Raw genomic sequence first — 14003 nt, forward strand, 5'->3', positions numbered from 1 at the left:
CGGGCGCCTCTCTGGGTACTGGTTCTTACTCTTTGTGAGACCCAGCTGCTCCTCCTGCCTTTGGGTTCTGAGAGCTTGAGAGCTACACCTGAATCCTTACAAATTCATCCTCTTATCCTCTTTGTTTAAGTTAGAGTGGGTTTCTTTTTTTTCATTTTTTTTTTTTTTTTTTGAGATGGAGTCTCACTCTGTCACCCAGGCTGGAGTGCAGTGGCGTGATCTCGGCTCACTGCAACCTCCGCCTCCTGTGTTCAAGCAATTCTCCTGCCTCAGCCTTCCGAGTAGATGGGATTACAAGCATGCACCACTGCACCTGGCTAATTTTTGTATTTTTAGTAGAGATGGGGTTTCACCATGTTGGCCAGGCTGGTCTCGAACTCCTGAGCTCAAGTGATCCACCCGCCTCGGCCTCCCAAAGTGCTGGGATTGCAGGCGTAAGCCAACGTGCCCGGCCTAGAGTGGGTTTCTATTTGCAACCCACTTGAGCCATGACTAAGCAAACTAAGCAAAACAACAACAAAAAAATGGTCCTTGGGTTGAATTCCCAAGTGTTTTTATCAGTATTTCTTACTGACTTTACTTTTAGAATATACCTGGAATATTGACCACTTCTCACCACCTGAGTCACCATCATCTCAATGGGACTGCTGTGATAGCCTCTCACCTGGTCTTCCTTCTCCTCCTGCCTCCCTACAGTCTGTTCTTCACTTAGCAGCCTGGCTCTCTCCCCTCTTTTTTACTTCCTTTCCTGTGCTTTCCCATCCCATTCTGACCAGATTGTTCTAAAAACCATTAGGACAAAGCAAGGCAGGCACCTAGTACACCTGGGAGAGACTGCTGTAGTCCAGAATGGGGTGTCGGAGCCTGAGTGGGGTAAGGAGGGTGTCTATGTAGAAAGACTGCCTGGCATGGGGAGTAGACAGGGAGGAGAAGGCATCTGAGGAGGAGGATGTCAGAGCCTTTGAAAGGTGAGGGACGTATCCACGTGGTGAAAGGGCATGCCCTCGTGTGGGAAGACAGAACCTGGGTGGGAGAGGAGAGTGTGCATGGGGAGGAGAGGCCTGGCGGCGGGTATCATAGTCTATAGAGAGGGAAGAAGTTGTCTACACAGAGGAAAGGCCTGGCATGAAGGATCAGAGTCCATGCAGATAGAGGAACATCCCCATATGGGTGTTAGAGAGATGAAGAGGGTGTCCACGCAAGAGGGCAGCTGGGCACAGAGAGTCAGAAGGTGAGAAGCGTGTCCAGGGCAAAGGATGATGATGGCAGATGGGTGACAGCAGGGAAAGTCATCAAAAAGTACATATATTAGGAATAATGGGAGCCAGATTTCTCAGAGTCAGAGAAGGGAGTTACAATCACGGAGAGGAACAGAACCTAAGTGAACCCTGTAATGTCGTGTTGGAATTGAGATCTATATCAGAACTCATGGCTTTCAACACATAGGTAGATGGATGAATAAATAAAACGAGATAGCAATGTTCACTAGCTCTGAGGGCCTGGGAAGAGTGACACACCTCACTAGCAATGAACACATCCAGCACCCAGATCTTCTAAATACCATTTTCCAATAGCAGGAACTAGGGCTCCTTGCAGAAATGACTGATTCCCATATTAAGGCATAGAAAGTGTAAGAAAAGCCTAGAAGATCCTGTTGTGTCAGAAAGCAAAAAAGTGCTAAAAAAAAATGATGAGGATATGTCAACACAGAAGCCAACTTGAAGGGGCTTCTATTAAGCAAAGCTGGGACAATTTAAACACCAAAATAAATTATGGTAGTAATGGTTATAACCCATTGACTGATTTAGGAAACCATGACTCCACACTAATATAAATAAATAAATATTTACATAGTTTCAGATAGTCTCTCCAGAAAGCATCTATTAATTTCAAGGGGGAAAAGGGTAACTTTTCAGTGAAGAAGTCTGGCAGACATCACCTTAATCAAGTGATCAAAGTGAACGTCATCAGCAATGGGACAAATGGAAAGCAAGGCAGGAAATGCGCTAATAGGATGTGGGAAGAACACAGCATCACTTCTCTGATATTCTTGCCAAAGATGCATAACCAGGATTGAGTCATGAGGACTAAGTTGAAAGACATTCCATGAGAAACTGACCTGTGATCTTCAAAAGTGTCAAGGCCATGAAGGCTAAGGAACTGTTTCACATTGAAGGAGACTGAAGAGATATGATGACTAAATGCAATGTGTGATTCTGATCTGTCTCTAGGCCAGCTGGGGCTCCGCTGCTCTCTGCTAGCATCTGTGGGTCTTGGCTCCAGGTTGTGGCTGAGTTGAGGTCTGTACCACATGTCTTTCATCCCCCTTGGATCAGCAGATACCTGAGGCATATTCTTTTTATTTTTCAGTTTTTGAGACGGAGTCTTGCTCTGTCACCCACGCTGGAGTGCAGGGATTGCAGGCGCATGCCACCATGCCTGGCTAATTTTTGTATTTTTGTAAAGACAGGGTTTCACCATGTTGGCCAGGCTGGTCTCGAACTCCTGACCTCAGGTGATCCACCCGCCTCGGCCTCCCAAAGTTCTGGGATTACAGGAGTGGGCCACTGCGCCCGGCCACCTGAGGCATATTCTATTCATGGCCAAAAAGTAGGGCAAGCCCAACTGCACAATCATATTTCAAGTTTCAGCTCACTTCACATCTGAAATCTGTAATTAGCATTTAACACAAGTCACAAGGCCAAGCCCCAATTCAAGGGTGAATGGCACACTTTGCCCTCCCATGACCATGGCAAAGGTATGGATGTGTGATACTGCTGCAACAGGGCAGTGAAGTATTGAGATTGATGATTCAACCTACTACACTCTCTGTGTCCCTTAGACTTTTTTGAGCATACTGTACAGTCTGGGAATTCCTATGTTGGGTACGTGTTAGTGCCAAGTATACTGCTGAACCCAAGGAAAGTGCTTATCTTGACTAATTGATTGTTGTCAAATGTTTCTCTATCCTTGTTGGGGGAAGAGACTAAAACCACTGCATCAATGCTCCCTATCTACATTGGTTCCAGGCAGCCTTCCTACAATTTGGACCTACTTCCTAAAATGTAAGATATGCAAACTTTTTGAATCATCAGCTTAATTTTTCTGGAGAACTAATTATAGATATGGTTTAAAAAACAAACAAATATGAACAAGAGTGCTTATTATAGCATGGTTTGTTAGAGGAACAAAGTGGACCTTCCCAAAGGTCTCATATAGGAGAGAGGCTAAATCACATTGCCATTTTCATGGTGGTTAAAAAGAATAAAGAATGAAGTATCATTATGTATTCTCAACAGTTCAATTAGAGCAGTAGAACCACTAGGAGGTACAGTGTGTGTGTGTGTGTGAGAGAGAGAGAGAGAGAGAAAGAGAGAGAGAGACGGAGAGGAAGAGAGAGAGGGAGACAGAGAGAGAGAGAGATGGGGATTTGACTTTAAGCAATCGGGGAGCTGGCTAAACTGTCTTGGGAAGGCTGTTACCTTCTCATCTGACACTGGAGCTTGGCATCCACACGGCAGGAAGAGAAGAGGGATGTAAGTAGGGAAGAGTGAGAACCAGCAGGAGCCCACAAGATCCACAGGAGTCTCTCTCCACCTCCAACTTGTTGGTACAAGTGTCCTGCGGGAGCAGCTGACCTCTTCCTTCATCACAAAGCCAAACACACACCTGGCGCAGGAGATGGAGCTGCTGAAGGAGGACACAGGGCAGGTGGAGCAGCTGCAGCCGTCAAATGAGCAGCAATACAGGATATCCAAATCTCAGCCTAAACGTCTCTTGGTCCCCCCTAACTGGCCATATACAGGGAAGACAGAATCCAGCCTTCCCAAATGGATGCATTCCAATGCCACCACACTGCTAATATGGAAAGATTTCCAAGATATATTTATGTGTAAGAAATGCAAGTTTCAGGGCTGGGTGCGGTGGCTCATGCCTGTAATCCCAGCACTTTGGGAGGCCAAGGCGGGTGGATCACCTGAGGTCAGGAATTCAAGACCAGCCTGGCCAACATGGCGAAACCCTGTCTCTACTAAAAATACAAAAATTAGCCAGGCATGGTGGTGCGCGCCTCTTATCCCAGATACTCGGGAGACTGAGGCATGAGAATCTCTTGGATCTGGGAGACGGAGCTTGCAGTGAGCCAAGATCGTGCCACTGCACTCCAGCCTGGGTGACAAAGTGAGACTCTGTCTCAAAAAAAAAGAAAAAGAAAAAAGAAATGCAAGCTTCAGGCTATTATGGAGAATATGTTTTTATGCTGCCGCAAAAATTATTTTTATCTGTACACATATAGGTAGGTACATACATAGAGACAGATTTGGAAAGATAAACACTGACCATGGTCACCTCCAGAAAGGGACTGGAACTGGGGAAGAGGGTGTCAACGGGACTTTGTGTTTATCTGGATTCAAGTGCAATTGAAGGCAAACATAAAAAGCAAAAAGAAAATCCCCTCTGTGTTAGTGTCTTCTCAAGTCAGGGGTGTTTTACTTCTCTGCGAGGACCCTCATTTTTAGTTCTTTCAAAATGAGCAATGAAGTAGATTTCAAGACACTGTGAGGTGTGTGTAGATGGTCAAAGGGTTGTTCTTGTGGTTTTCTTTCTTCTCCGTTTCAAATTGTTAACAGTACAGCGAAGCTTTACCACATTGCTTTGGCCTTTTGCTCCTGAGAGGTGGGTGAACCCCCAGGGCTCCGCCTGCAGCCAGTTGGGCATTGGGGGAGGGGTGGTGACCCCTCCTGGGCAGAAATCAGCAGAAGTGATGATGTCCAGTTGGAATGCCAGGACCTCCTGCAGGGGTTGAGGAGGCAAGTCCCTCTGCTTTCTCAATAGTGATGCTACGTGCCAGATATTCCTTCTAAGAACTTTGCTAGTGTCATGGACTCCAGCTGGGGCACTACTGGGAGCCTGCCCTCTGTGGATGGCACATGCAGATCTCTGGGGTTTATGCAAGAATAGTCACAACGATTTTTCAAGAGAGAGAAACAAATAGATGATGAGCCTCAAGAGGCTTCCAGCCTGTTAAAAGTGACTCCATGAGGCCCCTCCCCAACCCCACACTGTGTCTCCAGGCCCAGAAGACAGCCTCCCGGATGGGGCTACCCCAAGAGTCCCACCTTTTCCCAGAGCCTCTCATTCTCCCGTCTTCTAGGAAGCCTTCAGGGGCTTTCTCCATTGAGAAGGTCTCTCCCTTCTCTTTTTTCTGTTAAAATCCCAACCATACTTCAAATCTCTCCAGAAGTTTCTCATCAGCCACAAGGATTTTCATTTTCCATCATCACCCAGCTCTCCCTTAAGGCAAGACATGGTACCCAGCCCGGTGCTCTCAGCAGGGAGCTTCTAGCTGTTGTTCCCACAGGGGTTGTCCTGCCTGAGCCCATGGCCTCCCTAGGGGAGCCCAATCTGGGGGCCAGGTGAGATGAGGGCACCAGGGCCTGGCCACTTCAGCCTGGCAAGGGTAACTCTGCTGCAACATTTGCTCCAGAGCTCTGCACTGGGCTGGCCACGCATTTGACAGGTCTGCATTGCAGCTTGGCTTTTCCCTCTGCCTACATCTGTTCCCGTGCACCTCTTTCCTTTCACAGTTATTGATCTCTAGTAAACATCATGCACCCTCAACTCCATATCAGCCTCTGCCTTCTGGAGAACCCAATTTGTGATAGTTGGTACAAGGAATGGTCCCAGAAAGCAGTTGACAGGTGGGTTTTGGAACTGGACCAGTTATCACGGGGCCAGCATTAAGAGGGGTGAGGCACAGCAGCCCCTGGGTCAGGGCAGTGGCCCAACTATGGATTCCCCTGGTGAGGAAGGAGGGGGAAACGCACTAGTAGGTGTTATGCATGAGGTATTTGAGAGGTCTGGCGTTCACAGTTGCTTTAAGGATAGGGTATGGGATAGAAAGTTGATGTCCTTCAGAAAAAGAACAGACAGCTGAGGGCCATAACAGGCAACTGAAAGGCAGTTGTGAAGCCAGAGGGCCTTTTTGTTTGCATACAAAGAAATTCTAACCTCCTACAGCACAGGGCAGGATGAAATGCCCATTGAAGCAGTTTCATTATACCAAGGTTAAGGCCCTGGTGGGTAAAACCTGGCTGTGATATATATGTGTGATGGAGACATCTATATGGATGCTCCAGAAGCCTGTGAATTCCCAGACTCAGCTGACCCTTCCGAGCATGCAGAATGGCCCACCGACACGAGTGGGAGCTAGCACTGTCCCTGTGCTGGAGATCACTGCAAAGGCCATTCTCCTGAAGTGTCTCTCAGGAAGTGCTCCCACCTCCCCTCCTGGCCACTAGGCCTAAAAATAAGGTTAGGTCACAGCATGATCCAGCTGGGTGTGCAATGCCCCTGATACGGGAGGAAAGGGATCATTCCCCAGGGGTTGCAGGACCAAGCCAGACGGCAGCACACACAGGGACCAGGGGAGTGCGCAGGGGCCTGGACTGAGACTGTCGATCAGAGGACCAGAACATCGCAGCACACAGGGAAGAGCTTTCCTGAGATGCAGCATCCAGGGAGATGGCACTAACTGGGCATCACTACTAGGATGCCCCAGAGGTGCGGAGAAAGTGACCATCCTGCCGAGCAAAGGTGAAATGCCAGAATTGCTGTGGCAGTTGGTGGAGGAAAGGATTAAAAGGCTCAAGGCGATGAGTGTGCCAAAATGGATAGGCTATGGGCAGCCGGAATGTCTGTCTATTCATACGGTCCATGAAAGGGCTCAGAGGACACAATGTGTTGGTGAGAAGGGCACCAGCATCACTAAAATGTTCAGTGGTGGCTCTCCTCTGCAGGCCAGGGCTGAGGGCAAAGATGCTGCTATGGAACTTGGCTCCCGACTGGGCGCGGTGGCTCACGCCTGTAATCCCAGCACTTTGGGAGGCCTAGGCGGGCAGATCACCTGAGGTCAGGAGTTTGAGACCAGCCTGGCCAACATGGTGAAACTTCCTCTGGGTTTCCAGAAAGAAAAGTGGCTGGGTTTCCAGAAAGAAGAACCCTGTATTACCATGGTATGTAAAACTCCTGTTGCTGGCATGTGATACCCCTGTGCTTTCCCCCAACAGGACCTATGGCCATTTATTTAGGTCACTCTGCACAAGGGAACTGGGAATACAATACCTAGACATTTGAGGACCGTTGGACACAGGGTCTGAGTTGACATTGACACCCAAGGACCTGAAGTGTCATCATAGCTCCCCTGTCAGGTGGGGATGTGGGGGTCCAGGTAACAAATGGAGTCCTGACCAAGATGCAGCTTACAGTGGGTCTACTGGGTCCCAGACCTAACAATGGTCATATCTTTCCATCCTACTCCCACCTTCCTTCTCTCTTATTATGACGTTCTGGAGAATAAGACCAGTGTCTTTGAATGCCCCCTAGTGTGGGGCATGATGCCTGGCATGCAATGAGGAGTAGGTACTTAATAAATATCACCACTCCCAACTGGACGGGAGCCAGAACTCCCCTGGGTGCTTATAGCTTCTAACACTTATTTTGCACATTGGGGACTTTAATCTTTACTGCCCTTATTATTTTTTGTAACTTATTTTGAAATAATTATAGACTTATAAGAAGTTACAAAAATAAGGCTGGGTGCAGTGTCTCACGCCTGTAGTTCCAGCACTTTGAGAGGCTGAGGCGGGCAGATCACCTGAGGCCAGAAGTTCAAGACCAGCCTGGCTAACGTGGCGAAACCCTGTCTCTACTAAAAATACAAAAATTAGCCCTCCATGGTGGCACACACCTGCGGTCCCAGCTACTCGGGAGGCTGAGGCAGGAGAATAGCTGTAACCCAGGAGGCGGAGGTTTCAGTGAGCTGAAATTGTGCCACTGCATTCCAGCCTGGGTGACAGAGCAAGACTCCATCTCAAAAAAGAAGAAGAAGTTACAAAACTAGTCCAGAGTGGTCCTGTCCATACATTGTACCCTTCCCTGAGCTTCCCCAGTGATAATATCTTATATAACTACAGCACATTAACAAACCAGGAAATTGACATTCGTATGGCAATATTAACTAGATGGCAGCCCCTATTTGGATTTCACCAATTTATATGTGAACTTTTGTATGTGTGCATAGTGCTATGAAACTTTGTCTCCTGTATAGATTTGTGCGACCACCACTACAATCAAGATACAAAACTGTGCCATCACCACAAAAGAACTCCCTCGGGCTACCCTTTTTATAGTCACACTATCGCCCCATCCCTTACTTCTGGCCACCACTTTTTATAATTTTGTCATTTTGAGAATGTTATATAAAATAAGTTATATAGCAAGTATCTTTTGAGATTAGCTTTTGGAATTCAGCATAACACCCGTGGGCAGTATTCTCTTGTGTAGATGCTCCCGACCTTTTTCTTTTTTCTTTTTTTTGAGACAGAGTCTCACTCTGCCACTCAGCCTGGAGTGCAGTGGTGCAATCTCGGCTCACTGCAACCTCCGCCTCCTGGGTTCAAGCAATTCTCCTGCCTCAGCCTCCTGAGAAGCTGGGACTACGGGTGTGCACCATCACTCCTGGCTAATTTTTGTATTTTTAGTAGAGATGAGGTTTCACCACGCTGGCCGTGCTGGTCTCAAAATCCAGACCTCAAGTGATCCGCCCGCCTCGGCCTCCCAAAGTGCTGGGATTACAGGTGTGAGCCACTGCGGCCCACACTTTATTTTTAATCTGGTTACCTCTTGAAGGACATTTTGGTTGTTGGCACTTTTTGGCTATTGCAAATAAAGCTGATTTGAATATTCACGTACAGATTTTTCTGTGAACATAGTTTTGTTTTGTTTTCTTTTCTTTTTGAAACAGAGTTTTGCTCTTATTGCCCAGGCTGGAGTGTAATGATGCAATCTCGGCTCACTGCAACCTCCACCTCCAGGTTCAAGTGATTCTCCTGCTTCACCCTTCCGAGTAGCTGGGATTACAGGCACCTGCCACCACACTCGGCTAATTTTTGTATTTTTTTAGTAGAGACGGGGTTTCATCATATTGGCCAGGCTGGTCTGGAACTCCTGACCTTGTTATCCGCCTGCCTTGGCCTCCCAAAGTGCTGGGATTACAGGCGTAAGCCACCGCGCCCAGCCGCCTGACTAATTTTGTAGTTTTAGTAGAGACAGGGTTTCACCATGCTGGTCAGGCTGGTTTCAAACTCCTGACCTCAGGTGATCTGCCTGCCTCGGCCTCCCAAAGTGCTGGGATTACAAGCATGAGCCACCGCGCCCTGGCTACAGTTTTCATTTCTATAGAATAAATGCCCAGGAGTGCAATTGCTGGGTCATATGGCAAGTGTGTTTAATTTTATAAGAAACTGCTAAGCTGTTGTCCAGGGTAGCTGCAGCATTTTACAATCCCACCACCACGGTGTGAGAGCTCCAGTTTCTGCCTCCTCCCCAGCACTTGGTATAGCAGCAGTTGTTTTTAGCTATTTAATAGGTGTACAGTGGTATGCCATTGTGGCTAAAATTTGCATTTCCCAATTGCTTAATGACGGCAAACATCTTTTCTTGTGCTGATTTCTCATCTGTTTATTTTCTTTCATGAAATGCCTGTTGAAGTCTTTGCCTATTGGATTTATTTTCTTCCTGTTGAGTTTAGAGTTCTTTTCATATTCTAGATACAAGTTCTTTGTCAGAAAGGTGAATTGCAAATGTTTTCTCCTAACCTGTGGCTTGCCTTTTCATCCTCTGCGTGCGGTCTTTCGCAGAGCGAAAATTTTAAATTTTGATGAAGTCCAATTTATCAATGTTTTTCTTCATGGATTGTGATTTTGGTGTCAGGTTTAAGAACTCTTTACCTAACCCTAGTTCATAAAGATTTTCTCCCATGTTTTCTTCTAAAAGTTTGATATTTTACATTTAGATCTACTATCCATTTTGAGTTACTTTTTGGATAAGGTGTGAAGTTTAGCTCCAGGTTTGTCCATTTTGCCTAGGAATGCCCTAAACCATTATTTCAAAACCATTTGTTGAATGACCTCTCTTACTGGCTACTTCTTTCTACACATCCACCTTTTCACTACATAAATAGTAAGAGTAAAAGTAGGAATCACATCTTATGCCTTTTTTTTTTTTTTTAAATATAGATGGGGTCTCATTATGTTGCCCAGGCTGGTCTCAAACCCTTGAGCTTAAGTGATCCTCCTGCCTCAGCCTCCCAAAGTGCTGGGATTACAGGTGTGAGCCACAGGGGTCGGCTTATCTTATGCTTCTTGACATCTCCCTCTGAACTTAGCATTCATTCATTCATTTCTTCATTCATTCAATAAATATTAATTGAATACTCATTATGTACTCATTATGTGCTGGGAATTATGCTAGGCACTTAGAATACATCGGTTCTCATGGAGTTAATAACCTAGTGGAGAAGAACAATAATAAAAAAGCAAAAAGGGCCAGATACTGTGGCTCACTCCTGTAACCCCAGCACTTCAGGAGGCCAAGGCAGGAGGATCACTTGAGCCCAGGAGTTCCAGAGCAGCCTGCACAACATGACCAAACCCTGTCTCTACCAAAAAAGATACAAAAAGTAGCCAGGCGTGGTGGTGTGCACCTATAGTCCCAGCAACCCAGGAGGCTGAGGTGGGAGCATCCCTTGAGCCTGGGGAGATCAAGGCTGCAGTGAGCCGTGACTGTGCCACCGCACTTCAGCCTGGACGACAGAGTGAGACCCTGTCTCAAGAAACAAAAAAAGAAAAGAAAGAAAAAAAGAATCGAATTGGCGTTGTGACGATGTGCTCTGAGAGAAATGAGAAGCACAGTAGAAAAACAATAACGGATGGGGGTGCAAAATGCGTAGGGAGCTGCACTTAGGGGAAGATAAAGTCTAAGCTAAGATCTTACCACCTCTGAGGCTGTCACTGGGATGAAGAAAGAGAAGCGGCGAGAAGCTCTAACGCTATTGGTCCAGCCATCTCTTTGTCTCTACGCCCTCCAACTCTCACAGCTGAAAAAGGCACCCGGAAATATTAGCCACCATCGTTAAAAGGAATGCAGTACAACTCCATCTCCTGACACAGGAACCTCCCCAACATAATGCTCAGTGAGTGATACATTTCTCCCTTCCTCCCTCTCCCCTCCCTCATGCCATCTTTAGCTACTAGAGTTCCCCACACCTCTGATGCCTTCCCCTTTCTCAGAAGTTAGTCATGGGCAGTGAAGAGTCTCCATTCGTTACTGACCCTCTGAGCTATGTCATGCCCCACACTGCCTCTCCCTATCCCCCATTCTCAAGTCCACCTGGGGAGAAAGCAGGTATTCCCAGCCCGCAGAGCTGATTGAGGAGTTGTGGGGGTCAGGAGAGGCTGGTGGACAGAAAGCGGGTTCCCACCACTGCTCCACACAGGGCAGCGGTGACCCTGATTGAGCCCAGCCGAAGCCCAGCCTAGAAGGAGGGGGCAAGTGGCATCCCCGGCCTCAGCCTCATTCAGGACTGGTTGTCTACAACCCAGTGTGGTTTTGCGGTTCCTCTTGGATTTTGGATGTTCATAAAATAAGCTGCCAGCTGCCTGCCTGCTGTGGTAGGGGGAGGGTCTGTGGGACGAGTGCCTTGCTGTTGAGGGCTGGGGGTGCTGACGGGTTCCAATGAAGCTGGCCTGTGAGCCTCCTGGATGGCTGCCTAGAGCACTTTCCTAGGCCAGGGCAGGAGGCCCAAACCACCTGCTGGCCTACTGGTGAATGAGTAGTAGACCAGGTGGGATTTCATAGCTGCATCTATTCGGGATTTTCAGAAGGCTTCCAAGGTTTCTATCCCCTACCAGTTCTCCTGGCCGCACCCATCTTCTAGCCATGTCCTTCGACACCCACATCTCCAGAAGCTTGGCCGTGATTAGCGCAGTGCCTGGCGCAGAGGGGTGAGGCCTCACCTTTCTAGGGCCTTCTCGGCCTGCGGTGTGTTCTGGGAAGCACCGAAGTCTGGAGAGTGAGGATCAAGCAGGTTCTCTTTCTTCCATGGGCATTGTCAACCAGTGAGAACTTTAAGGCATCACAGTGTGTTTGCTTTTAGCCTCCAGGGGCAATCAGATCTCTCTGCTGGAGGGCCTGGCGGGGTCTCTGCTGCTGGTGGGGAGACAGCAGTGGTGCCCAAGCATCTTGGCCCTGGTGCTCTGGGGGTGTGTTCGGTCAGCTCTGGGACTAGGGGGTCCTGTTCCAGCCCCGTGGTCATTGGCTGATTTAACCCTGAGGTGGCCTTGGTTATGCAGGCCACCCAGATATAGCCTCTCCCTGGGCTTGGGCTGACTTGAGCAGGCTGCTTCACCTCTAAGAGTTTGCTCTGCCCACACAGGCTCACTCCTCTGGGAGTGACACATTCTGGAAGTGTGTCCCCTAACCTCTGTCCACAGCCTGGGGGCCGGGAAGAAGACCACTCCAGCTAAGATGAGATTCTGTCTCTTCTTGCACTTGACACTTCCCTCAGATTTGATACTTGTTCCCTGACACTGCGCTGTCTTATCTGGCCTTGAAGGCAGGACTTTCTCCTCCTTGGAAACTAGAGGTACCAGGATCCCTGTGAGTGGCCAGGCACTGGGGTGTGGCTTGAGGGTCACCCATTGTGTTCATGACACATCATCCAGACATTTTCTTTTCACCCCCCATTGCGGGGACTAGGATCACCAAGGTCCTGCCCTGCTGCCCCTCCCAGAAGCCTGGGTGATACCCCAAACTTCAAATAAGGTTAAGAGAATTGGCTTTCATTCCAGAATGCTTGGGTTCAAACCTGACACCATTACTTGCCTGCTCTGTGATCTTGGACAAGTGATATAACCTCAGTGCGGCTTAGTCCCCTCTTCTCTACCCCCTCAAAGAACTATTATGGAGATTAGATAGGATAAGGTACATGAGTAGGCTGGGTGTGGTAGCTCACGCCTGTAATTCCAGCACTTTGGGAGGACAAGGAAGGAGGATCACCTGAGTCTAGGAGTTTGAGACCAGACCAGCTTGGGCAACACAGCGAGACCCCATTTCAAAAAAAAAATTAAAAATCAGCTGGGTGTGGCGGTGTACATCTGTAGTCCCAGCTACTTGGGAGGCTGAGGCAGGAGGAGGATCATTTGATCCCAGGAGTTTGAGGCTGCAGTGAGCTATGATTGTACCACTGCACTCCAGCCTGGTTGACAGAGCAAGACCCCATTTCTAAAAAAATAAAATTGGCTGGACGAGGTGGCTCATGCCTGTAATCCCAGCACTTTGGGAGGCAAGGCGGGTGGATCACCTGAGGTCAGGAGTTCGAGATCAGCCTGCCCAACGTGGTGAAACGCCCTCTACTAAAAATACAAAAAATTAGCCGGGCGTGGGGGTGGGCGCCTGTAATCCCAGCTATCAGCAGGCTGAGGCAGGAGAATCACTTAAAACCCAGAGGTAGAGGTTGCAGTGAACCAAGATTGCACCACTGCACTCCAGCCTGGGCAACAAGAGCAAAACTCTGTCTCAAGAGAATAATTAATTAATTAAAAATAAAAGTCCCCTGGGGGCGATGGCTAATGTCTGTAATCCTAGCACTTTGGGAGGCCAAGGCAGGAGGATTGTTTTTGAGCCCAGGAGATCAAGATCAGCCTGGGCAACATAGCGAGATTCCTTCTCTACAGATAATAAAATTAGCTGGACATGATGGTGCTCGCCTATAGTCTCAGCTACTCAGGAGCCTGAGGTGGGAGGATCACTTGAGTCTAGGAGTTGGAGGGTGCAGTGAGCTGTGATTGCACCACTGCATTTCAGCCTGGGCAACAGAGCAAGACCTCATTAAATGGTAGTCATTGTTTTTGTTATTCCTTACAAAATTTACCCAGCTTGTCTTCTGTTCCTCAGGACTGATCAGTGACAGGGCTAACAGAAAATTAACTCAATTAGCTGGGGAAGACATTCATAACATGCTTTGTGCCAGACACTGTTCTAAGCCCTTGATATATATTGTTGAATCCTCCTAACAACTCTCTAAGATAGGCTATTATTATTTTTTTAATTGTATTATTTTATTTATTTATTTTATTATTTTTTTTTAAGACAGAGTCTTGCTC

At 47.8% G+C, this 14003-nt stretch overlaps 2 annotated features.

Annotated features, from left to right (window-relative positions):
• Nucleotides 1513-2712: an enhancer, noted in NCBI's record as "P300/CBP strongly-dependent group 1 enhancer chr5:141580673-141581872 (GRCh37/hg19 assembly coordinates)". NCBI's record gives its function as "activates an origin of replication core promoter dependent on BRD2, BRD4, P300/CBP, MED14 and CDK7 cofactors, with strong dependence on P300/CBP, by STARR-seq in HCT116 cells {active_cell/tissue: HCT116}" and the evidence as "EXISTENCE:reporter gene assay evidence [ECO:0000049][PMID:35650434]".
• Nucleotides 6110-6610: an enhancer, noted in NCBI's record as "H3K27ac hESC enhancer chr5:141585270-141585770 (GRCh37/hg19 assembly coordinates)". NCBI's record gives its function as "activates a minimal SCP1, AML or CMV promoter by ChIP-STARR-seq in primed H9 embryonic stem cells {active_cell/tissue: H9 hESC(primed)}" and the evidence as "EXISTENCE:reporter gene assay evidence [ECO:0000049][PMID:30033119]".

Source organism: Homo sapiens, chromosome 5 (genome assembly GCF_000001405.40).
Source record: "Homo sapiens chromosome 5, GRCh38.p14 Primary Assembly".
Classification (NCBI taxonomy): Eukaryota; Metazoa; Chordata; class Mammalia; order Primates; family Hominidae; genus Homo; species Homo sapiens.